The sequence below is a fragment of the Homo sapiens genome, chromosome 1 (genome assembly GCF_000001405.40).
Source record: "Homo sapiens chromosome 1, GRCh38.p14 Primary Assembly".
Lineage (NCBI taxonomy): Eukaryota > Metazoa > Chordata > Mammalia > Primates > Hominidae > Homo > Homo sapiens.
The window spans coordinates 39678246-39702666 of NC_000001.11; the positions used below are offsets into that span (position 1 = coordinate 39678246).

Below are 24421 nucleotides of genomic sequence, written 5' to 3' on the forward strand. Positions count from 1 at the left end.
GGGTTCAAGCAATTTTCCTGCCTCAGCCTCCCGAATAGCTGGGACTATAGGCGTGCACCACCATGCCCAGCTAATTTTTGTATTATTAGTATGTTGGCCAGGATGGTCTCGATCTCGACCTTGTGATCTGCCCCTTGGCCTCCCAAAGTACTGGGATTACAGGTGTGAGCCTCTGCGCTTGGCCTGAGGTTCAGTCATTCTTGATTTTCCATCTTCAGAGTCCCTTATAATCTGCTCCCCCATTTCTTTGAACTAGCTCAAGTGAGTCTCATGCCATGTTCCCAGAGTCCTTGCTAGAACAAGGACCTTGGCCCTTCACTGAGTGAGCCTCCCCAGGCCTCTTCTGTCCCTTTCTCCCCACCCCAATCCTGTCCCAGTGTAGGGAAGAGCAGGAGCCCTCAGCACAGTTGCACCTTTTATTCACTGTCAGTGGGGAAAGAAACACACCACACAGCACAGGGTTGAGCAGTGAGGGCAGTCACTGAGTGCACAGCCAGAAGCAGCACATCTGGAGGGGATAGGGGGCTACACTGGAACTGGCCTCCTTCCCCTGCTACCCAGACCCCCCACTTCCCCAAGCCTCCTTTCTACTGCTGCTTAGAAGGCCCTGGGCCTGACTGGCCTCCACCAAGCAGGAAGGGCTATACACCCTGGCAGGCCCAGTCCTGCCCCCACACTCTGGCAAAGGTAAAAAGAAAACCTCGAAAATTCCAGAAAGAAAATCCCATATTTTTCTGACTTTTTAATTCCAAGGTTTGAATTATTTCTTTTTTCAAGAATGATGAATAAAACATGTAAGACATTCTTGACCCCACAGTGATCTCTAAAGTCAGCTCAAAGCCTCACCCAGGGTGGATCTTCAGGAAATATTTGTTGCTTCAATACATTTTTGTGTAAAAAATATTTAGTGTCAGCTTACTACCCTGCCTGGAGACCCCAGCTTCTTCTCTTTCTTTTCTTTCCCCCATCCCACGCCATTCCTTCTCTCTCTGCAGCAAGGCAAATTTCTACCTCTAGAGACTCTGCCATTGTCAGGAAAGGATTTAGTGCCTTTACTTATGAACTAACTTTTTCTTCACTTTTGATATACAGGTAAGTTAAATAATCCTGACTACAGCTGAAAGGACTAAAGTGGCCATCTGAAGTAGCCTTTGCTGATAATTTTTAGAGATAAGAAATAAGATGCTCATCAATTAGCCCAAAAGGATGAATGAGGGTAGAGTATGTGAGAAGGCAGATTCTGGGACCTTGCAATTCACAGAGTTGTTGCAATAAGATTGGAATTTAAAGGAGAGTTTGAATATATCAATGTTTTGATTGTCTGTATATTTTTGTGTCTGTGCAAGTCATACATAAATCTCTGCCAGCCTTGTGCTTTGCGGCAAGTCTCTCTCAGCTGGTGCAGGGACGGGAGACCTGTGTCTCTTCTCAAGGCAGGGCCAGTGCTCTACCACAGTGCTCCTGAGCACACAGTCCCTGGGACACCCAGGAGTATGCAGGAGCATGTCCTGGGCCACCTGTTGTTCCTTCCATCAGCAAGATGGTGGTCCCAGTTCCTGGCCTGGCATTGTGTGTTCACACTGCTGGGCTGTCTGAGAATATTGGGCCTGAGGAGCAAAAATCACCCATGGGTATGTGTGTCCAGAAGCCTGGAGTAATCAAACACGCCTTCATGGGTAGGCATGTTTCTCTTAGTGAAGATGATGGTGGGTAAAGACAATGCAGGATGCTTCGAGGGTTCTGAGTCAGAGGACTCCCAGGACAGCACTGAGCTGTTAGCACAGCTGCCAGAGGCAGAACACTGAGTGCTTGAAAATGTGGGGACTTCAACCAAGCTCCTATTTTTTTTGGAAGACCACAATCTCAGAAGCTTTTTAGCAGGAAGCCTATAAAGGATGAATATCAATGTAACTTGCCCTGCTGTCAACCTCTGCACAGCTTAGTCACAGAAATGGACAGGGAAGAGACTCTGAAAAGAAGAAATCCTCTTAGAGCCTTGGTTCAAGTCTTAGCCCTGTGTCACCTCCTGACTATGTGATCTTGCACAAGGGATGCTTCCTCTCTGAATCTCAGCTTCCAAGTCTAGAGAAAAGAAGTGAAAATCCTCACCTCCATGGGATGTGAGTATAGAATGAGATGGGGCACATGGCAAGCCTTTGAAAGCCATGAAATTCTGTGTGGTTGCGAATTAGGCTAGATTCAGCATTTGCAGGGAAGGAACCTCACTTAGTGAAAAGCTTTTCACCAGAAGATTTAGGTCCCAGCTAAGCCAGGCTGGTGAGCATCTATGTGTCTGTGATGCTGACTGACCGCACAAGACATACCTAATAGCCAGTTCCTGGGAGCAATGCAACATCCTTGAGGCATTGCTGGATAAACAACTGCTAGTTCCTGCCTGAGGATGTGAACTCCCCAGCCTCACCATATGGCTGGTCATGAGCAAGAGGATAGCAAAAGGATAGCAACCCAGTGGTTGCAAACCAGTGGTTGCTATCCCCAGCAAGAGGATAGCAACCCAGTGGCCTTGCTACCTCCAAGGGCCCAGTAGAGCTTGGGACCAAGCTCTATTGATCAGCATCCCCCAGAGTTTTCACCTGCAGAGAAGCAGGACAGGTGGGCACTCAGGAGTGAGGAGCATGCTGCATCTCTTTCCTGCAGATGCAATTCCCCTGCCCCGGGCTCAGCAATCATTTCCTGCTCCCACCCTGGGCTGACAGCACCTGTGTACTAGACTGTTTTCACCGGCAGTTCAAGAGGAAATCAACTGTCACTGCACGTCAAAGGTAATTTCTGATCACAAGTACAGGAGAAAGACCTGATGAAGAAGCAAGATTAATTTTTCCGGCAGTCAAAGCATGCAGCTGTATAGCTCATGGATCCAAAATTGGGAAGCAGGCATTGGAAAGCAGAACCAGCACACTTGGAAGATGTTGAACTACCTGGCAGATCTAAGATTTGGGGTTAGAAAAAGCCTCTCAAACAGAGCATGCCTGGCACATTTTTAGGCATTTCGTCCATAAATTATGTCTGGGTGCCTAAACAGTGGCCAGGTGAGCCTTTTCTTCTAGCTCTTTCTGATTCTGTGGCAGTGAAGGAACAAGTCCAGTTCTGAAACTAAACCCAATCCAGAAACGAACTACCAAGATACGGAATATACACTAGTTTCACTCTTTGCAAACCTTGCTTTTTCCTGTCCCTGAAGTCAGCACCCAACCGGAGTAAGTATGTAGCAGAAAGTTGCTTGTTGAATTGAAAAAGGTAATAAAAAGGAAGAGCTGAAGCAGCAAAAACTGCTGAGAGTGGCAGCTCAGGACTTAGTCTTAAAAAGTGTTATCTGGTAAATTTCATGGTCTTTTCTCCCTTTCTTCTCAGGTTTTTTCCCCTTGAAAATTAATATTTTCTCTATTCATTTAATCATTTTATAAGAAACCAAGTAATATAGAGTATATTTTAACCTCCTGAAATAATAAAATGACTGTAGCTCCTTTAAAGGGTACTAAAAAAATAAGTATGACATAAATTTCATTTTTCTTAAAACTTTCACTCACGTGGCTCCTAAACTTCCAAATGCTTTTCATTTCGTCCTTCTGCAGCTTTGTGTGGAGCTGAGCTGGAAGATGAAATAGCTCCTCCCAGACTAACCAGCCTTCCAGCACCTTCTGCTTAGCTGAGACCCTGACGGCTGGAAGTTTGCCTCACAACCCTATGAGCTTCCAGAGGGCACAAGATGTGTCTTGTAAATGACCATATCCTTAGCACCAAACAGGTGCTCAGTAATCATTAGCTGAAGAAAGGACTGAATGAACGCTCCAAAGGCTGGGGCTGGAAGGGCCAGGTAGAGTAGAAGGGATGGGGAAGAGACCCCCTTTATGGGATCTGGAGCCTCAGGAATGGACAGACCCAATTTGGCCCTGTGACAGGCCTGTGGGACCACATCCTATAAAGCATAATCCCAGGATCAAGAGAATTCCTAACCAGAACCCCAGGCCCCCAACTCCTTAACCTCACCTCCTGGGGCAAAAGCCAACTCCCCTATGCCCAATGGACATTGGTTCTGGCCAAGTGGGAGGTGGGGCTAGAAGACAGGGTACTGGAGGACCTGTCTCTTTTGCAGGGTGAGGTGGTCCCTCAAAGATCTTGATGGAGGGGAGGAAGGGCTTGGGCAGAGGACTGGGTGGGCCAGAGAGGGGGGCTGGAGTGTCCCTCCTCCTGGGAGGCCAGCCAGAGAGGTCATCAGGTTGGGAGGTGGCCATGCCCCTTCTGGCCAGGGACCCTGCCCCTCACCAGCTTCTACTTCTGCATGTCACACTGCAGCAGCAACACAATGGATGGGTCACTCTTGGCTGCCTCCTTGAACTCCTCCAATGTAATCTGGTCGTCCTTATCCTGGTCCATCTTCTTGAAGATCTTGTCCACACGCTGCTGGGGCGTGAGCCCGTCCTGGTTCATGCGCATCATGATCACGGTGCCCACCATCTTGTAGATTGCCTGGTGAGGGAAGGAGGAGGGAGGTGTGAACACCCACAAGGGGCCCCGAGAAGCAGCGGGTGAAGGAAAGGGATCTGGCAGGGAGAACACTGGGGGTTGGTGAGGATACTGGAAGGTATATGTGGTCATTAAGACTGGATATTTAATGAGCAACTCTTTTTTTTTTTGAAACAGAGTTTCGATCTTGTTGCCCAGGATGGAGTGCAATGGCGCGATCTCGGCTTACTGCAACCTCTGCCTCCTGGGTTCAAGTGATTTTCCTGCTTCAGCCTCCTGAGTAGCTGGGATTACAGGCATGCACCAACACGTCCCGCTAATTTTTGTATTTTTAGTAGAGACGGGGTTTCACCATGTTGACCGGGTTGGTCTCGAACTCATTACCTCAGGTAATCCACCGGCCTCACCCTCCCAAAGTGCTAGGATTACAGGCGTGAGCCACCACGCCCAGCCCTCAACTAATTTTTTATTTAGACTAAATAATATTTATGTGGATGAAACATGCCAGAAGCCCAACTCCGTGGAGACCTTACTGATGGGGCTCCTGGCTCCCCGTATGACCACCTTCCTATCACTCTCTCCCTCTCATGGCTCTCCCACCACCGGGCCTCCTGGCCCCTCCTTGAACTCTGCAGAGAAAGGCCGACCTGCCTTAATTGCCCCTCAGCATGGAACGCTTTCCCCCAGGCATCTTGCAGTAAAGGCCTCACCCCATTCAGGCTGCTGCTAACTTTCCATCTTATATAAAGTAACTTCTCCATCACGCGCTCTCCCTGCACTTTGCTTAGTGTATCTTCCTCATAGCACCTACGGCCTGACCCCGCATGTCTTCATTCATTTATTTTTTAAAAAAATTTCTCACTAGAAGGAATGCCCCATGAAAGCAAGAACTGGCAGGCGCTCAATCCCTGCCTGTTGACAGAATGAGTTGAAAACATCAGCTATGAGGTCAGACTCCCTGGATTGGAATCAGGAACCCGGCCGTTTCCTCCTCTGCCAAATGGGGTTTGGGACAGTAACCAACCCCTCCGCCCCGTCGAGTGTCGGGTAAAGCATTTAGCCCGGGCCTGTAGCGGGGTGGTAGGAGGCGGGATCGCAGGCTGGGGAGCAGCAGGGAGGCCCCGAAGCCCGAGAGCAGCGCGGAGGCAGGGGCGGGGATGGCGAAGCGCTGGCCTCGGGAACAGCAGCGCCCGCGCGGCCCCGCACCTCGATGATCTCCAGCATCTCCAGGCGCGTGATGCGCCCGTCGCCGTCCAGGTCGTACATCTCAAAGGCCCAGTTGAGCTTCTGCTCGAAGCTGCCGCGGGAGGTGACCGACAGGGCGCAGATGAACTCCCGGAAGTCGATGGTGCCGTCGCCGTTCTTGTCGAAGGTGCGGAAAGCGTGCTGCGCGAACTTGGAGGCGTCGCCGTAGGGGAAGAACTGAGGGGGGTGCGGTGGGTTGGGGCGCAGCGACAGCCCCGCCCACCCCGCCCCCATCTCAGGGAACCTCCCCTGCACCCCGGGTGCCTCGCCTCCTCCCACCCCGGGTGCCTTGCCCCCGCCACCCCGGGTGCCTCACCTCCCCCGCACCCCGGGTGCCTCGCCTCCCCTCCCACCCCGGGTGCCTCGCCTCTTCTCATCCCAGGGTGCCCTGCCTCCCTCACCCCCGGTTCCTCGCCTCCCCCAACCCGGGTACTTGGCTCCCTCACACCAGGTGCCGGCCGCCCACCTTGATGTAGAGCTGCTGAAACTCCTCCAGGTTGAGGATGCCGCTGGGGCAGTCCTTCAGGAAGCCCTTGTACCACTGCTTCAGCTCCTGCTCGCTGAACTCAGTGTTCTGAACAAGGTCCTCCAGCACCTCGGGGGCCAGCTTGCTGTTGGTCTTCCCCATGGCGGGGCCTGTGGGACAGAGGGATTCCTCCGACTGGGTCCAGGGAAAGGCCCTGCCTCAGCCACAGCTGCCCCCTCCCCTGCCACACACAGGGCGGGGTTGCAGGTTCCTTCCCCTCATGACACTCCCCCATAATGGGGCCTCCTCTCCCCTCACAACACCTGCATTCAGGTAGGTTTCTTCTCCTAGCCCCGGGGGTCTCCCGCCTTCCAGGTCTCAGCTCTCCTCCTCACTGACCGTGCAGCACGCCACAGTCTTCATCCTCTCCCCTCCTGCTCACACCTTTCATGGCTCCCCTGCCCACAGACTAAGGCCTTGACTCCTCTCCTTGCCATTTAGGGCTTTCTGAAGTCAGCCCCCACCCTCCTTGGCAGGCTTCTGTCCTGAGAAGGGACCCAAGGTAGGTTCCTTGTGTGTCCCCTTGGCACTGTCTCCCAATTTCTTCCTCAAGGCTTTCTTGGGCCACCCCAGCAGGGAGCTTCTCTCCCTCTTTCCTCTATACAAATAGAAATCCTCTACTGACATTTGGCTTTTCATTAATCCATTCATTCCCTGAGCATTTATTGAGACTGACTGTGTGCTAGGCCCTGTGCCAGTGATGGAGATGAAGCAGACATGAGCCAACCTTCAATAACTTGTAACTGGGTCAAAGAGGCAGATGGTTGGTTACAAAGGGCCTCCAATCCATGCCAAGAAATTGGAGGGAACAGACGCTCCTGGGATTTTTTAAAACAAGGGCTGGGAAGATTGCATTCATTCCACAATATTTACAGAATGCTTATGATATACCCAGTCTTGAACGAGTCACTGGGGACCCAAGAAAAGGTATGTGTTTTAAAATTTTTCCAGGCTGGGCACCGTATTTCATGCCTATAATCCCAGTACCTTGGGAGGCTGAGATGAGAGGACAGCTTGAGGCCAGGAGTTTGAGACCAGCCTAGGCAATACAGTGACACCTAGTCTCTACAAAAAATTTAAAAATTTGGCTGGGCGCGGCCGGGCACGGTGGCTCACACCTGTAATCCCAGCACTTTGGGAGGCCAAGGTGGGTGGATCACGAAGTCAGGTGATCAAGACCATCCTGGCTAACACGGTGAAACCCTGTCTCTACTACAAATACAAAAAAATTAGCTGGGCGTCGTGGCAGGCGCCTGTAGTCCCAGCTACTCGGGAGGCTGAGGCAGGAGAATGGCGTCAACCCAGGAGGGAGAGCATGCAGTGAGCTGAGATCGCGCCACTGCACTCCAACCTGGGTGACACAGTGAGACTCCACCTCAAAAAAAAAAAAAATATATTGGCCGGGCGCAGTGGCTCACGCCTGTAATCCCAGCACTTTGAGAGGCTGAGGCAGGTGGATCACGAGGTCAGGAGATCAAGACCATCCTGGCTAACACAGTGAAACCCCATCTCTACTAAAAATACAAAAAATTAGCCAGGCATGGTGGCGGGCGCCAGTAGTCCCAGCTACTTGGGAGGCTGAGGCAGGAGAATGGCATCAACCCCAGAGGCGGAGCTTGCGGTGAGCCGAGATCGCTCCACTGCACTCCAGCCTGGGCGACAGAGTGAGACTCCGTCTCAAAAAAAAAAAAAAAAAAAAATTCACTGAGTGTGGTGGTGCATGCCTGTAGTCCCAGATACTTGGGAGGCTAAGATGGGAGGATCACTTGAGCCTGGGAGGCAGGGGTTGCAGTGAGCTGAGATGGCACCACTGTACTACAGCCTGGGCGATAAAGAAAGGCCCTGTCTCAAAAAAGAAAAAAAAGAATTTTTCCTTTGGCCACAGCATGCAAGATGACCTTTGGTGGGGGCAGGTAGGTAGAGCAGGGAGGGGCCTGCTACACGGTTCAGGTGAGAGACAATGCTGCCAGAGTAAGGGTCGTGGAGAGACGTGGATGGGCTGAGACGTTAAGAAGGGCACTGGCAGGACTTTGCAGTTGATTGGATGTGGGAGTAAGAGGAACAGAGGAGTTGAGGCAGAGGCTCAGATTTGAGCCTCAGTGGATAGAAGTGTTGTTGCTGAGAAGCAGGTTTGGGAAGGATCAAGAGTTATTCCCCAGTGGGAATGTGAGCCCGTAAGTGGGCTGTGCCAGGGGAAGTGTTTGAAGAGGTACAGGCCCTCCTCAGGAAGTGTGGCCAGACCTTGAAGGCAGAGTGGACCCTCCTCTCTGACCTCCCTGGGAGGAATGTCCCTGCAGAGTCTGGGTTTCCCAGGACATGGCTTGGGAGGTGCCTCTGACCTGCCTAGAGTCTCTTTGGAAGAGGGTCAGGCTCCCACCCCAGGTAGCCTGTCCTCAAGATACTCTGGAAAAGGAAGCCCTTGGGCTGGCAGAAGGAATTCCACTCCCATAGCCCGATGTCTGCCAGTGGGCTTCTAATTCTTACAACTGGGAAAACACTAAATAGCAAATCTGAGGTTGGTCCATTCCTTCCCACTCCCCTTTGCTGGGCTGACCTCAGGCTAGTTACAGATCCTCTCTGGGCCTCAGATTCCTCCACTGGGCCATAAGGAAGACCAAGGAGCAGTGCAGGTAGCAACATCCTTCCCCACTCCCAGAGGATGAGGAATTGTATGCCCTCAGGAAAAGCCAGGGAGGGGGAGCATGCCATCTTCAGGAACCTGAGGCTGGGCGGAAAATGGCTACACTGAGGCCAGAGCAAGGATGCCTCTGGAACACCCATAGGCAAAAGGAGGCAGGCCTCACCCCTCTCCCAAATCCAAAGGACTCTCAAGGCTCAGGGTATAGTCAAGGAAGCTGGAGAAGTCAGGCAGAGATGTCTGATGGGGGGAGGCACAGCCTCTCCAGCTGTCTTCCGTAGGATGTGCCTGAGAGTCAGCATGAGGGGCTGGGTCTGTGTGTGGGAGCATGTCAATGTCTGAGGCTGCAAATCTGTCAGAGTGCACACGTCTCTCTGTGTGTGTCACAGTGTCTGTGTGGCTCTCACCTTATACCCCTTTTCTCCTCCCTGCTCTGTGCTGCCTTCTCCACAATTCTCTGTCTCCTAGGGTCCTTCCTGTTCCCTGCTTTTATTGGGTCTCAGACCCAGACTATGCCTCCTCCTTTATTTCTCCTCATTCCCTCTAGATCATCAGAAGGTCAAAGCTGAGCCTGGGCAAGATAAGGAAACCCTGTTTCTACATAAAATTTAAAAATTAGCCAGACATGGTAGCATGTGCCTGTAGTCCCAGCTGCTCAGAAGCTGAGGTGGGAGGATCACTTGAGCCCAGGAGGTTGAGGCTGCAGTGAGCCGTGATTGAGCCACTGCACTCGAGCCTGGGCAACAGAGCAAGACCCTGTCTCAAAAAAAAAATAAGTAAATAAAAAATTAAGAAAAGAAGGTCAAAACTGGCCGTGCCCTTTAAGATCATCCCCTTATTTCAGTGAAAATGGAAATTGAGAGATAGGAGAAAACTGGCTCAGGGTTACACAGCAGGTCAGTGGGAGGGCCCAGATGAGCACTCAGGCTGAATCCGTGCTACCTGCCTGGGCCACCGTCTCCAAATCATGGCTACTCTTGTTCAGCACAGACCTTCTCCACCCACATCTGCCCTCTGGGAAAATCAGAGCTCTGATCTCCCTTTTGGCCGCAGTGGAACCATCTGGGGCCACAATCTCTGACACCCAGGAGATAGCCACCCTAGGGGTGTCCACCAGCACCTCTGAGACAGCAAGTCTACAGCCAGACTCGCTCCCAACCAGAGATGGTCAGACTGTCTCTGTTGCCCCTTCCTTCTCTCCCTCATCCCCGGGGTGTGGGGAACACAATCTTAGTTACCTTCATTTTTTCCCTTCCCTTTGCCCTAGGTCTAACTTGCCATCAAGTCCTGTTGTCTCTTATTTTGAAATGCTCTTGGTACCTTCATTATGTCCATAGCCAGGGACACAGCCGAGGGGGCTGAAATCAAGCTATGCTCATGCCCATGGGGCTTCCCTGCCTGGCAGGAAGTGCCTTTCTTTTGATTCCTCTGTTAGGAGGGAATGGCTTTTTCCCCCCGAAAGTTACAATATAGACTAGAAGTAGCCATGCCCATGGGCCCCCTGAAACTCTAGAATCCTCTAGAATCTGGTCTCAAAGTGCCCACCTATCTCGCCTCAGCTCTCATTGCTCACTCACCACCGCATACTCCTCTCAAGCCAGCCTTCTCACAGCCAGACACGCCTCACCTCTTTGCTAAGCTATTTTCCTCTCCCCTAATATCCTTTCTTCTCTCCTGGACTATAATCAGTCTTCAGGGCCTGGTTGAAGCCTGCTTCCTTATGATCAGCCTTTTCCAGTCTGGACAGTGGAGAGTCAGCAGCCCAAGCTCAGCACTTTGGGCATGAGTCAGTCCCCCACAGGCGTGTAGACTTCATAGCCCTCTGACCCTCACCTGGTGCTGTAGAATTCCAGGATGCAGTCTGATTTGAGACAGGTCTTTGCATTAAACCCCTGCCTGAGTCAGAAAAAAAATCCTCCAGACCTTTTTGCTCAATGGCAAGGAGTTGATCCCCTCCAATATGCCCCAGTCCACTTTTGAGCAGGTTGAAGCGTGAGAAAAGTTTATTTTTCCCATGGGGAAAATAAAAGTGCTTTTCCCTATGCACTCACTTCTCCCAGTGAGTGCTTAGTCCTCACTGAGTCTGGGACCCATGAGAGCAGGGGTTTTTTCTCTCTTATAGCTCCCCTACCCTGGTTCCCACCCTGCCTTCTGTGCCTGCACAGAACTGCTCTGTGGAGACGCAGTGGCAATGCCTAGGACACAGTGATGTTCAATGAATGTCTCTTGGTGGATTACGTAAGAGGAGCAGAACCCCCTTCTTCCTCCCTGGATCTATGTCAGGCTGTTTTGTTTATCTGTGTTCTCCTGCTATCACACCCACTTCAGAGACAATGGAACCCAGACCTAGGGGAAGGAAGGGTTCACCCCAGGTCAACTATAGCCCATCAGCAGCAAAGTGAAGGCCAGAACCCAGCTGGGGACATGCTCTGCTGGAGCTGTGGCCCTGCTGAACATGGGCAGGCTCCTCTGCTTACCTCTTGAGGGCTGTCCTCCAGCTATGAAGGAGCTGGGACTGTCCCATACACAAAACCATTGTCCCAGTGTGCCCAGAGGTTTCTTCAAGAGGGCTAAGGGCTGTGGGCTTTGAATGGAGAGGTGGCTGAGGCTTTGAATGGGAGGGACTGAAGGAGGCAATAATCCCACACCCTCACCCAGCTTCAGAGGAGCTGGTACTGAGGTGGTTGCCATGGTGACAATAGCTCCCTGGTCAGGAGATTTTTTCTCTCTTTCCTCTCCTCCCTTTGCTCTTCCCCAAGCAGCAGCAATAGCAGCAGCAACCAGGTCTTTTCCCTCTTCTTCTTAATGAGAGGCAGGGGATGACAAACAAAGAGTAATCCCAGCTGGCCACCTACAATTTGGAGCTGTCCATGTCAGGATGGGCTGGTGGTCTAGGAGGGACTCCTAATAGAAGGGGCCTGGAGAATGTGTGGGAGGAGGTAGCCTGTACCTAGGCTGGTTAAGAAGGAATGTGTCTTCAGTGAGTTCTAAACCAACCCCGCCCCCCTCAGGTCTCCTCTCTTTAATGTCCTCTTGGTTCAGGATCCTGTTTTTCCATAATCAGCCATAGAACCAGAGTGTCTCAGTGCCAGAAGGCTGTTCAAGTTCATCTCACCCAGTCTACCCTCTCTGTTATACCTCTCCCCATTTTCATGAAGGATCAGAGAGGGGAGTGACTTGGCCAAAGTCAAACTTTGGCTGTACAAGATTTGAACCCAGCTCATCTGCCCTCCAGGTATAGTTCACTTTAGGGCCAAGAGCAATACAGCCCACATGGCACCTTGGCAAGGTCCCCACGGAGCAGCAGGAAGGTGGGAGAGAGGGAGCAAATAGTCATACAAATTAGAAAGACATTTGACAGGCAGAATGAGAGGATTTGGTGCCTGGCTGTGAGGGGGGAGGGAGGAGGTATGGAGGTTGGGGCCTTGGCAGCAACTGGACTGACGGTATGGGTGGTCTGCTGGGGGTGGTGTCTTTGGTTCATCCTCCCGCCAGGATGAGAGATGCCAAATATGGGGCCTCTGCCTAGCACTGGGGGCCACTGGGGAGGGCTGTCGAGACTGTGAGGAGAAAAACTGGGGAAGGGGGATTGTCCCCCCCTCAGGTATGCTGTGGGCTCTGTCAGCTTGAGGGGTGGGATGTGGGGACAGTGTCTGGGGACAACAAGGAGGGAGCGCTCTGTGGAGGGGGAGGCTGTCTTTGGGGGCAGGGGCTCCCTGATGAGAAGTGGCTAGGGGCTATCCGTGGAGGTGGGAGTTTGCCATGGTGCTGGGCAGACAACCCATATCCAAACAGGAGGGAGGGTGACCAGCGCCTCCAGCTAGCACCAGCGCCACCACACCCCCAGATGTGTGTGTGTGCATCTGTGTGTGTATGTGTGTTTGCGCGCGTGTATGTTGGGGGCCATAGCAATGGTTGTTCTCACCTGAGCTGGGGATAAGTAGGCGGCTCTGCCTCCTTCTCTGCACCCATGGGCCTGGACTGAGGTGGGGGGTCTCCTGCCCAGGGGTGGGCTCTTCAGTTGCTGCCGCCTAAGGCGGAACCACGGGTCAGGGAGGTGAATCAGGGCAGGACATGAGGATGGGAAGGGAGAGTGGAGGGGGAGGGGGCCAGGGCCTCCGCCCGGTGGGTTTGTTGCCTTGAGGACCCGGTCCCACTCGCATTACCTGAGGCCGGTCGCCGGGTCGCTGGATGGCTCCGAGCCTCGGCGGGCCGCGGGAACCGAGGCTGGCTCGCGGGCCGGCAGCTGTGCTCTCCAAGGTCTGCGCCGGAGCCGCCTTCCAGCTCTTGTATCACTATGTGCCTCCCGAAGGCGACACTATTTGCATAAGCCCCGCCCCATCCCGGGCAGGTTGCACGGCTATTGGCTCCTCTGGAGCGGAGTGGCAGGCGGGGTTTCAGGTGGGGACCGGGTGGCCGGCGAGGCCCGGCCGCAGGAGCGCGCCCCGCCTGCCCGCGCTGACCTTCCCGGAGTCGCCGGGAAGCGGGAGGGCTGCACCCCCATCTGCACCCCTGCCCTGAGGCTCAGCCCCCGGCTTACAAGTCTGGGGTGGAAAGGGTCGACGATGAAAGTGGATTCTCAAAAACAACCTCACCGTTGCTATGGAAACGGGAGAACCACAGCCGAATCTCTAAGCTTCCTTTCCTGGGCCCCAGCATGGGTGGGGGCGGAAGAGGGGATGAGTCACAAGATGAGACCCCCCCCCACACCCATATCCCACCCGAAATTGGGAGGGGCCAAAGAGGAGCTGGGGAGGAGCTGGGTGGGAGAGGGAGGAGGTGGCTGGTCAGCAGTCCACATCTCTGCGTCCCCCCTCCCCACGCATCCACTCCCCTCACGCCGTGGGGCAGAGAGGAGGGTGCTGGTTGCGCGCGGAGAGCGCGGTATGGGTGGCGAAGTCCCAGCCTCTACCTAGCCCCGCGCTAGTCGTGGGTTCCCTCCAGCCACCCCTCTGGCCCTTCATTCCGGTCCCTCCCCAGACGGGCCCTCCTCCTTTCTCATGGACCCCCAAGAGGCCTCTCGCGTTCTCCCCCGAAGGACCCCTATGCCTAGCCATGGATCCTCCATTCCCCACCCTCCCGTTTTCCCGTCCCGCAGACGGAGCCGGTCCCCAGCCGCCGCCAGTCTCCGGCCTCGGATGTTGACACAAACCCGAGGCGGTTTACACTGAGCGGGTCTGGAAGCTTTCAGGGCCCCGGCAACACCTCCTCCCCGCACTTGGGGGTCTCCCCACAGCCCGGGCCGGCCGCCTGGGCTGCACTGGCGTCTGAGAGCTCCTGACACAAGGCTGTGGGAAGGAACCCTTTTAAGCCAAACTGGGGGCAAAAGGGGAGCCAGACATCCCCGGGCTGGGCCACGTGCGGGGCAGGGACTTCTAAGGATCTGTCGAAAGTCGGGGCGGACGGCTGGGGATTGGCCTAATCGGAGCGCGGACGCTGAAGAGCAGCGGTGAGAGGCGGGGCTTCTGTCCGCGCGGCGAAGGTAGAGGTGGGCTGGGCGGGGCGATGGAGGATGGGGTCAGACCTGCCGCGAGTGGGGGCGAGGCTTCTGGAGCTGGTCCCAGAAATGCCTGGGCCAGGCTCGCTGGGGGAGGAACCCGTGGACGTCCCTTTTCTTTAGGACCTGTCCCGTTGCCCCTTGAAACGGTTTTGCTCTACCATTTTCGAGGCTGCGGACTATGCCTTCTCTCTGCGGCCTTAGCGGGGGCTGAGGGCTCCAAGGAACCTGCAGCTGTAGGAGAAGGCGCGTCCTTGGCACTATGGGTTGGTGACTCATGAAAGACAGGTGTTTGAAGCTCTAACTCTTTCACTTCTCTGATACCTTCTCAGCTCTGGGTCTTGGGGACCCAGAGATGAGCGAGAACCCCCCTTGCTCACAGTTAACCATAATCCAAGGCGTGAAGAAGTGGGGAGAGGCAGCACAGGTTACTAGAAGTGGTATCTGAAACCCTAACATTGACTGACCCAAGTTCATATTGCTAACATTGAGTCTCATTTTTGCCAATGATTCCATTTACGACCGTGGGCAAAACCCTTCTCATTCTGGGCCTCCCAGTCTGTGAAATGTGGGAGCTGGCTCAAGAGGTCCAGAGGAGCAGGGGGAAATTTTCAACCAGGTGGGTGAAGAAAGACTGTCCCTTGGACAGAAGTATGTGGACATGAATCTGACTGCTCCACTTAAGAGTCCTGAGCCCCTTAACAATAGCTAATGTGTATCGAGAGCTTACTTTGTGTCAGGTGCTATTCTAGCATATTATATGTTACCATATAATATAAATTGGGAATAAGTTACTCAATTTATTCCCCATAAGAGCTCTGTGAGGCAGGTTCTATTATTACTCCTACTTAACAGATGAGGAAATCAAGGCACAGAGCGGTTAAGTGACTGACCCAAGTTCACATTGCTAGTAAAGAGAGCTCCAGTGCTGGGATTTGAACCCCAGCAGTCTAGCCTCAGAGCCCACACTCCTAATCAGTACACAATACTGCCTCTTCTTATGGTCCTTCAAGTCCTTAAGGGTAAGGACCTTAGATTGGAATATTTGTTTCTGATTCCCCAAGGTATTAGAAAGGCAAAATCCAGCCTCCTGGGCAGCCCTTCTGTCTCAGGTGAACAAGATATGGGATTCCAGCAGTACAGTAAACTAGAAGTAGTGAAAACAAGAAGCCCTCCTGGGCTCACACCCAGGATTTATGCCTGTAATCCTAGCACTTTGGGAGGCTGAGGCGGGTGGATCACTTGAGGTCAGGAGTTTGAGACCAGCCTGGCCAACATGGCAAAACCCTGCCTCCACTAAAAATACAAAATACAAAAATACAAAAATAAGGAGGCTGAGGCAGGAGAATCGCTTGAACCCAGGAAGCAGAGGTTGCGGTGAGCTGAGATCACGCCACTGCACTCCAGCCTGGGCAACAGAGTGATATACACACACACACACAAAAAAAAAAAAAAAAAAAAAAAAAAGCAGCAGCCCTCCTGAACTGCAAGGGGGCCAGAGTGTGGCTTCTCCTGGCCATCCTATCCTCCAGGCATGACTACCCATGCAGCCTCACCCATGAATCATCTTGGGGCCATGTGACTATTCCTGAACTGCCAGTCATAACCCAGCTTCACCTGTTCATCATACTCAACTTTGAGGCCCTGATATTGGACCCTGCCTCTGTTCCCTTCAGTTTGATGTTTAAAGCAATAACAGCTGACATTGACTGAATTGCCTCACTGTGTACCAGACTATCTGCCAAGTCCTTTATCTGCATCATCTTACTTAATCCAGAAGATGACCACTACTAGGGATGATATTAAAAATATCTAACACTCCATTCAGGCATGAGCGTTATCAATCAGAATGGATACTGGCCTTAGTGCTAGATCAAGGTCTTAGTAGCTCTCTGTTCTGCCAAGAGTTAACACTTAGGTTATTGGATCAGTCAGGCAGGCAGGGAGAAGCAAGCATAGTAAGGAGTCAAAGGCTATGGCTGTTTACCAATCAATTTGGAAGTACTTTTATGTTTTAATAACCAGTTTAGCTGTACAGTGCATAGGGACTGAATTTCAGCCCTTGTTTCATTACTTTATTTCATGGCACAGGATGGAGCCTCAGAAAGGTTAGACAACTTGTCCATTGTAACACAGCTCGTTAGTCAAAGAGCTGGGATTCCCACCTAGGTCTGACTTCAGAGCCCACACTCTTAACCACTGGCTGACTTGTGTTCCTGAGAAGGGGTAGCATCCAGAATTGAGTTGGGATTTCCACTATTATGAGCCAGAGGAATGTGGCTTAAGTTTTGGGGCTTTGTCATGGCCTTACTGTTCTCAGGCTTGGAGTCTTGGCAAACACCTGTTCCACGTTGTTGAAGGAGCAGGCTCTGCAGAATGAGGAGGCAAAATCAAGCTGCACTGAAGGACAGGGTGGCTGTACAGGAGGCCCCACAAAGGGGCATGGAGGGGAGTGAGCCCAGCAGGGTTTGGGTGAGGACAGAGGTCTGCAGACAGTGGCCACTTCAATTTGTTTCATCTAAGTGCTAGCATTCCTCTCCTCCTTGGTCCTGAACAGTGCCTTTATGATGGATAGTGCCTTCCTGATTCCCTGGGTTTTCTCTGCCTTGGCTAGTGCAGCCTCCTGACAGCTGGAATTCCCCTAGGTCTTAGATAGTTCACCATCTTCTTTGTGGCTGGGAGAGAGTGAGATCACCAGAGTTGGATTCCTTCCTTTTATGCTATTGGCTAAGCACGATTTTTTTTAAGAAGTCTCTCTATTATTTGGAAGAAGGAGAAGGAAAAGAAGAAGGAGAAGAGAAGAGAAAGAAAAGAAGGAAGAAAGAAGAAAGAAGAAAGAAGAAAGAAGACAACAACTACAGAGAGAGTGGAAGTTCCCTATAACTCCTTGCATGATAACTGCAGGGGACCTTGTGGTTTTGCCTGTCCTGAATCTATTCCCTCTTATTCTATTGGAGAAGCCATATGTATAATGGGTTAAGTGCACAGACTTACAGCCAGGTTGCCTAGGTTTGCATCCCACAGTTGTCACTTACCAGCTGTGTGACTACAGGCACATTACTTTATCTCTCTGTGTCTCTGTCTCTTTATCTGTAAAATAGGGATAATAAAAATAGTATTGGCCGGGAGCGGTGGCTCATGCCTGTAATCCCAGCACTTTGGGAAGCCAAGACAGGTGGATCACCTGAGGTCAGGAGTTTGAGACTAGCCTGGCCAACATGGTGAAACCCTATCTCTACTAAAAACATGCCAGGCTGGGAGCAGTGCCTCGCGCCTGTAATCCCAGCACTTTGGGAGGCTGAGGCGGGTGGATCACCTAAGGTCAGAAGTTTGAGACCAGCCTGGCCAGTATGGTGAAACCCTGTCTCTACTAAAATACAAAAACATTAGCCGGGCATGGTGGCACACACCTGTAATTCCAGCTACTCAGGAGGCTGAGGCAGGAGAATTGCTTGAACCCGGGAGGCGGAGGTTGCAGTGAGCCGAGATCACGCCACTGCACTCTAGCCTGGGCGACAGAGCGAGACTTCATCTCAAAAAACAAACAAACAAACAAACAAACAAAAAATAAAATAAATAAATTAGCCGGGACTGGTGGCGCACACCTGTAATCCCAGCTACTTGAGGAGCTGAGGCAGGAGAATCCACTTGAACCCGGGAGCTGGAGGTTGCAGTGAGCTGAGATGGTACCACTGCACTCCAGACTGGGTGACAGAGTGAGACTCCACCTCAAAAACAAACAAACAAACAAAAATAGTGTTTATTTTATAGGGCTACTCTGAGGATTAAAATGAGTTAATATATGCAAAGTGCTTAGCACAGATTTTACTTTGAGGAATTACAGTGTATAGTAATAGCACCCTATTATGTACAGTTGTGGTGGAAACTATCAGCTCAGGTGTCTTGCTTTCTCTCTCTCTCTCTCCCCTTCTCTCTCTCTCTCTCTCTCCCCCAAGCAAATCTGAATCTTGAGTAAAGTGACTCAAGGATGTAGATAGTTAGCACTGCTTTATTCCAGAGCAGTGCCCTAATGACCCTGTCTATTCATTCCTGCTATCTGAATCCCGTCTTCTGCTTTTCCTTTGAGTCAGTAAGCCATCCCACATCTCTTCCCCAGATTTATGTTTTAAACTTAGGTTATCTAGAGGTGATTTATGTTTGCTTTCAGGGAACATATATTAATTTGATATATTTCTTTGTCAGTTATGACTTGTTGCAAGGTACAGAAAATCCACCCTATGATGGGTTAGGCAAAAAGAGAATGTAATGGCTTAAGTAAAGAAAAAAAAAACAGAAATAGATTGGACTTTAGGGCTGGCTGGATTCTAGGGCTTAAACAACGTAATTAATACCTGACCTCTTTCCAAGGCTCAGCTCTGCTCTCTTGAGTGTTGGCTTAATTCTCGAGATCCACATAAAGACAAGATATCTGTGGGCATCTCCAGGCCAACATACTGTCAGGTTGGAGTCCCACAGAAAAGAAGAGAGCTTCTCTTTCCCACTGCAGCCAAAGTCCTGGGCTGGCTCTCATTGGCCTGATTTGGAGTCCATGCTAATTTCAGGGTCAATCGCTGAAGACAGGGGTATGCAGTACTCAGATTGGCCAGGCTTGAGTCATTTTCCTACACCCAGAACTGGGAAGTCAAGTCAAGTCCTCCCAAAGCATATGCCCCTGCCACCACACTAGGGAAGGAAGGTGTTCCTTCCAAGAAAGGGGTGAATAGATGCTTGGTGGAGAAAAACAATAGAGGTGCCTAGAGTTTATAAGAACACATACAAGCTGTACTATCAAGCAAGTGGCACTCAAAGGGATAATTAAAGAAAGGTCAATAAGGGAATTATGTACATAGGTACGGTACAGTATGGTTGAGAGAAATCAATGAGGTATTGCCAAGCACCGTGCAGCTAGCAACAGTGGAGATCCAGTACCACCCCCAGGCCTCAATGGGTGAGGGGAGGGGGCAGAGCTGTTTATTATAGGAGATAGCTTTTTAGAGAGAGCTGTGGCTTTTGGCAGAGTAACACAGCCCTTGCCAACACATGGCCTGGTATAGAGAGATTGAGGGTGGGTGGAAAAAATACCTTGACCTCCTTCAGTTCCCTTGTGCTGCTCTCCTACTATGTCTCCCATTGGCCAAACCCAACAGGAAGGCAGGGGGCAAAGAAGCCTAGTTAGTGCAGTAGTGCAGTTCATATGCAGGCTCCTGGGGCACAGAGCAGGGTAGATTAGGGTAGAGAGAGGCAGCAAGCAGAAAACGAGATATATATATAGATATCTCTATATATCTATATATATATATATCTCCAAGTACATAGGCTTTCAAGTCAGACAGATCTTGGACAAATTCTGTCTGCATTTCAGTTACCTAGTCTGTAAAGGGGAATAATAATGGGAACTACTTGTGTGAGGACTCATGAGGATAAAGTGCTTAGCAGAGTTCCATGGCACGAGTAAGAATGATACACAGATGAACATATAAATCATGGTTGTTACTGTGCTATATTAGTTGGGACAAAGACTAAGCTGCTATAACAAATAGATCCAAACATACAATGACTCAAATGCAATAGAATTTTATTTTTTGTTTATATACAGTCTAGGGTCAGTGTCAGGTTGATGGGTGGTTCTCTTCTTTGTGGGGATTTGGGGATTAGGCTCCTTCTACCCTGAGATGCTACCATCCCTTAGGGCCTCCAGCCAGCGAAAAGGGAAAGACAGAGTGGAGGAGGCACATCTGCTTCTGAAGGCTTTGCTCTAGAAGTGGCACACGTCACTTCTTACGTTCCAGGGAAAACAAAAACCATTCTATTAGATTGGAGAGGGAATTTATAATAAGAGATTTGATACAAAAGTGTTAGAAGGGCTGGAGGAGCAAAATGCAGATGGCGAGGTTGCCCTGAGATTTCTAATTGCAGGAAGCCACTAAAAGTGTTACAAGGACTGGAGGAGCAAAATGCAGATGGTGAGGTTGCCTAGATTTCTAATTGCGGGGAGCGGGGGGCAAAAGGGAAAATGATGCTCTGCAGAGCCTTTGTTCATTGCACTGCTGCTAACTCCATTGGAGCACCTGCAGCCACCGCCACCGGAACCACCACCACTACTGCCCTGCAAGAAGCCAGGAGCTCACACTCTCACTGATGCTGCAGTGCTGAAGTCTGAAGTCACCTGCTGCTGTGGCTGTCATTGCCAGAGCTAGGGGTCATAAGAGCCATGCTGCCAAGGCAGCTGGGGTGCCTGCCACCACTGCCACTGGAAGAGGGCTAGGAGTCTGCCCATTGTTTTTGCTGCTGCTCCTTCCACTGTTGGAGAAAGAAAAACAGGCTTCTCCCTTCTTCTTTCCAAACTCCCATAAGAGCCACATGCTGGCAGAACCTAATGGGAAGTCAGTTGATAAAGGAATCTGAGAAATGTAGTTTGCAGGCTTCTAGCCCCTTGCTATACAGAGGGAAGCATAGTAGGATGAGAATAGTGTTGACAGCAAACAGACAAGTGACTGGTACTGTAAATTCAGATTGCTGAAGACTGTAGTTTCAGCCACCTTCTTGCAGCGTTTGTGGAGAGATGCTCAACTTCAGAACTAGCCCAACAATCTCTCTACACCACCCTAGATTTCTATAGAGGGCTGAGACAGGGGTGCTATGATTGTAAAGGGAGACAGACTGTAGTGTCCTCTCATTTCTTGTGGGTGTATTCAAATGGTTCCCTTCCCCAAATCTCTGGGAGGGGGACTCCTAAGAATTAGCTCATTAAGTTTTGGGGTATCATCAGGAAAGGAAGTCTTTTTCAGGTTGTATCTCAGCTGACCCACACAATGCATCAGTCTGCCTCTGTACTGCAATGGCAAGGGTGGGATGAGGTGGGAAGAAGCACTGAAGAGAGAAGGTGTGGTGGAAATGCCAGTTGGAGCGGGTAAGGACTGGGCCCTTAAGTGGTCAGTTCCTGAGATTTATGGAAGGTAGATCCTATAACCTGGTGGTGACCGGTGGAACTTTTTGCAATGATGGAAGAATTTGGTACTCAACCTATCTAGTATGGTAGTTACTAGTCACATGGGGCTATTGAGCATTTGAAGTGTAACTAGAGCAAATGAGAAACTAAGTTTAATTTTTTTTTTTTTTTGAGACAGAGTCTCACTTTGTCACCCAGGCTGGAGTGCAGTGGCACAATCTCGGCTCACTGCAACCTCTGCCTCCTGGGTTCAAGCAATTCTCCTGCCTCAGCCTCCTGAGTAGCTGGGACTACAGGCGCGTGCCACCACACCTGGCTAATTTTTTGTCTTTTTAGTAGAGACAGGGTTTTACCATGTTAGCCAGGATGGTCTTTATCTCCTGACCTTACGATCTGCCCATCTCGGCCTCCCAAAGTGCTGGGATTACAGGTGTGAGCCACCGTGCCCAGCCTAAGTTTAATTTTTAAATTAATTTTAATTTAAATAATCCATGTAGGTTGTGGTTATTAGATTGGACAGCACAGCTATAGATCCTGAAACTGGGGGTGAAGAGGCCAGACGAAATTGGGAGCTGAATGTTTTTTAAAACTCCTGCAGAGAAACATGGCATACTGCCCGCTAGAGATCTACAGAAAAATGTAGTTATGTTTCAAGGGACCATCAATACCTAAAAGAATGGCTTAGGATTGAGTATCTCACCAGCAGGGCCTATAGAAACCTCACTGCCAGCTGAGTGTATAGACAGTGAATTGGATTCGTGACGGCAAGGCTAAAATTCAACTGCCATACCAATTGTTAAAATATTGAAACATTTCCATATCAGCTTGCAAATAGCCACTTCCCCAAGTGCTTCCTGCCACCCCAGCCACTCTGCCCCCACCCCTAGAGCACCCAGGACTTTTGAAGTACCTAATGGAGTCCCTGCTGTCCCCTACCTCTGACCTGGCACAGCAGGGAGCTTTCAGGACCCTGCTCAGGGATTGGCAGGTGACTGTTCACCTGGGTTGGTGCCTGTGCCATTCTGGCTATTAAGTATTTAGAAAATCACCCCTGCTCTTGGGTACGAAAGCAACTGATGTGTGGTTATTCATGCAGGGGAATAGACATTATGGCCCACAGAAAACGGCCTGCCCCAACTCACCATTGGCATTCACATGAGAAATCCTTTTCTTCCTTTCTTCCTCCTCCTAAAACCCACTGCAGAGAAGCAATCACAAGGAAGGTGGTAGGTGTGGAAATGCTCCCTCCCTGCCCACAGCCACCAGAGCTGTAAGTCTGCCCCTCGTAGAATAGGGGCTGGGAGAGAGCTTTGGGTCAAAGGTGAAATTGAAAATTTAACTAATTTGGAAGAATTTCAGTAAACTAAAAGTGATTGAACTTGTGGGCTCTGGATTAAGGTGTTAGGTTTTTTAAAGGGAAGGCAAGGGTTAAAGAAAGACATACAGAGAGAGAGGGCAGCTCTACAGCAACACAGGTATATTGCAAAAACCTGTGGAGGTAGGGGGATCAGCTTAATGTCAGAGCCCACCGCTGCTTACAGGCTGGGGTAATTATAAGCATGTGGGGGAGGGGTCTGGGCAGTATGGCTTGCTGCCCAGGAAGATGTTGATTACGTGTTCCCATGCTGAGGCGGTTTTGGCCCTTGTTCTGGCGGAATGTGGTGTTCCTTGCACTTTCTCCCAGCAGAATATGATAAGAGGCAGGCTGTTTCTCACAGTCCGTACCCCATGGAATGTTTCACTTCGACCAAGGTCTGCGAGATGGCGGGGGAGGGGGCAGCGGGGGCTTACAAAATGGTGCGGTTTGGACTAACAGTGGAGAGGGGTGGGAGAGCGACAAGAATCGGCACTCTTGATCCAGGTGCTGGCTTCCTTACTGATCTCCTTCTGTCTGCCATCGCCAGTCCCTGGCACAGAGCCCCCTCCTTCATCCTGGCCCTGAGATGCTCAGCCACTCAGACCAGTGCTTGCCCCATTGTTTGGCCACCTGCACACACACACACACACACACACACACACACACACACACACACACACCTGCAGCCTCAGTCTGTACTTGCGGAAATGCCTGGCTCAAGCTGGGCCAATCAGATGTTGTCTCCTGGGAGTGTGGAATTTTGAATGGAGAAGAAAGAAATCTCATTATCATCACAGTGGAATCACATGCTCTGGGCAGTGTTCTAGGAAGAAAGCTCTATGATCCCTTGCTGTGGGATGTTCTAGGCCTGCCCTTCTGTGACAATTTCTTGGCTGTTCAACCCTTTCTGGGAGCCCCTGAGACACCCCCATGAACCTTCTAACATGTCATGCCAGCTCTCCCTCTCCAACTTCCCGCCATTTTTTCCCTTAAGTTAGGCGGAGCTGGTTTCTATGGCTCGCAGCCAAACACCTCTCAACTAATAAGGGCCATGCAAGATCAGAGATAGGAGGTGCGGTGAGAGGCAGCTGCCAGCAGAGGGGACTGTGGCCTCACTTTGAAGGGGCCTTTGAGTGGCCATAGAGGCCTTTGAAGGGAAGGTGGGTGAGGGAGCCAGGCAGTGAGGAGAAGGCTCTTCCTTGTGGTGTTTTATCCCAGCAAGGGCAGGGAGGGCACACAAGGAGATAATGAGATGGAAAGTCAGGGACTTTAATCCTATCACAGCTGCATCACCCACTTCACTCATGCTGTGACTTTGGGCAAGTCACTCCTCCCTCTAAGTTTGCTGACTTCGAAAACTGGGTTAAGACTAGAACCTCCCTTACAAGATCGTCGTGAGGATTAAATGTGATAATGTATCATCTTAAGTGCTTGGGACATTGTCTGGCACATACACTGTTATATATTTTTGCTGTTATTATTCTCATTTCACAAAGCACAGAACCAAAGGGCCAGAAATAGAGCCCCAGGAGAGCATATAGACATGCTTCAGACCATGGGGGGACTCTTTCTGGTACCCTGAGATTTGCAGTTCTAAAGCTAGATAGGGAGGATAGCTGGGTATCTTCCTGGGAGAGTCTGTGGGGATGAAAAGTTCCAGAGACCAGAACATGGGGATAGCCCAGAAAATGGAATCCATTCCTGATGACCAGGTGGTGGGAGTA

General features: G+C 51.0%; 1 protein-coding gene across 3 annotated transcripts, besides 5 other annotated features; it reads right to left on the bottom strand.

Annotated features, from left to right (window-relative positions):
• Positions 1-402: 402 nt before the first annotated feature.
• HPCAL4 (hippocalcin like 4) lies at positions 403-13188 on the bottom strand. Of its 3 annotated transcripts, NM_001282396.2 has the most exons (5): positions 13061-13188; positions 12820-12925; positions 6197-6366; positions 5692-5907; positions 403-4488 (listed from the first exon to the last, which is right to left on the bottom strand). In NM_001282396.2, exons 3-5 carry the CDS (start codon positions 6356-6358, stop codon positions 4291-4293), a joined length of 576 nt encoding a protein of 191 aa, NP_001269325.1. In that variant the 5' UTR covers positions 6359-6366; positions 12820-12925; positions 13061-13188; the 3' UTR covers positions 403-4290. The 3 variants fall into 3 exon arrangements, with proteins under 3 accessions (NP_001269325.1, NP_057341.1, NP_001269326.1); NM_016257.4 differs by lacking the exon at positions 12820-12925; NM_001282397.2 differs by lacking the exons at positions 5692-5907; positions 12820-12925.
• Positions 11464-11690: a silencer, noted in NCBI's record as "fragment chr1:40155381-40155607 (GRCh37/hg19 assembly coordinates)". NCBI's record gives its function as "represses an EF-1alpha promoter that drives an FKBP-Casp9 reporter gene in an ReSE screen in HepG2 liver carcinoma cells {active_cell/tissue: HepG2}" and the evidence as "EXISTENCE:reporter gene assay evidence [ECO:0000049][PMID:32094911]".
• Positions 12965-13044: a silencer, noted in NCBI's record as "silent region_710". NCBI's record gives its function as "represses an Ori minimal core promoter by ATAC-STARR-seq in GM12878 lymphoblastoid cells {active_cell/tissue: GM12878}" and the evidence as "EXISTENCE:reporter gene assay evidence [ECO:0000049][PMID:35858748]".
• Positions 13265-13494: a silencer, noted in NCBI's record as "silent region_711". NCBI's record gives its function as "represses an Ori minimal core promoter by ATAC-STARR-seq in GM12878 lymphoblastoid cells {active_cell/tissue: GM12878}" and the evidence as "EXISTENCE:reporter gene assay evidence [ECO:0000049][PMID:35858748]".
• Positions 13567-14157: an enhancer, noted in NCBI's record as "H3K4me1 hESC enhancer chr1:40157484-40158074 (GRCh37/hg19 assembly coordinates)". NCBI's record gives its function as "activates a minimal SCP1, AML or CMV promoter by ChIP-STARR-seq in primed H9 embryonic stem cells {active_cell/tissue: H9 hESC(primed)}" and the evidence as "EXISTENCE:reporter gene assay evidence [ECO:0000049][PMID:30033119]".
• Positions 22571-23223: an enhancer, noted in NCBI's record as "H3K27ac-H3K4me1 hESC enhancer chr1:40166488-40167140 (GRCh37/hg19 assembly coordinates)". NCBI's record gives its function as "activates a minimal SCP1, AML or CMV promoter by ChIP-STARR-seq in naive H9 embryonic stem cells {active_cell/tissue: H9 hESC(naive)}" and the evidence as "EXISTENCE:reporter gene assay evidence [ECO:0000049][PMID:30033119]".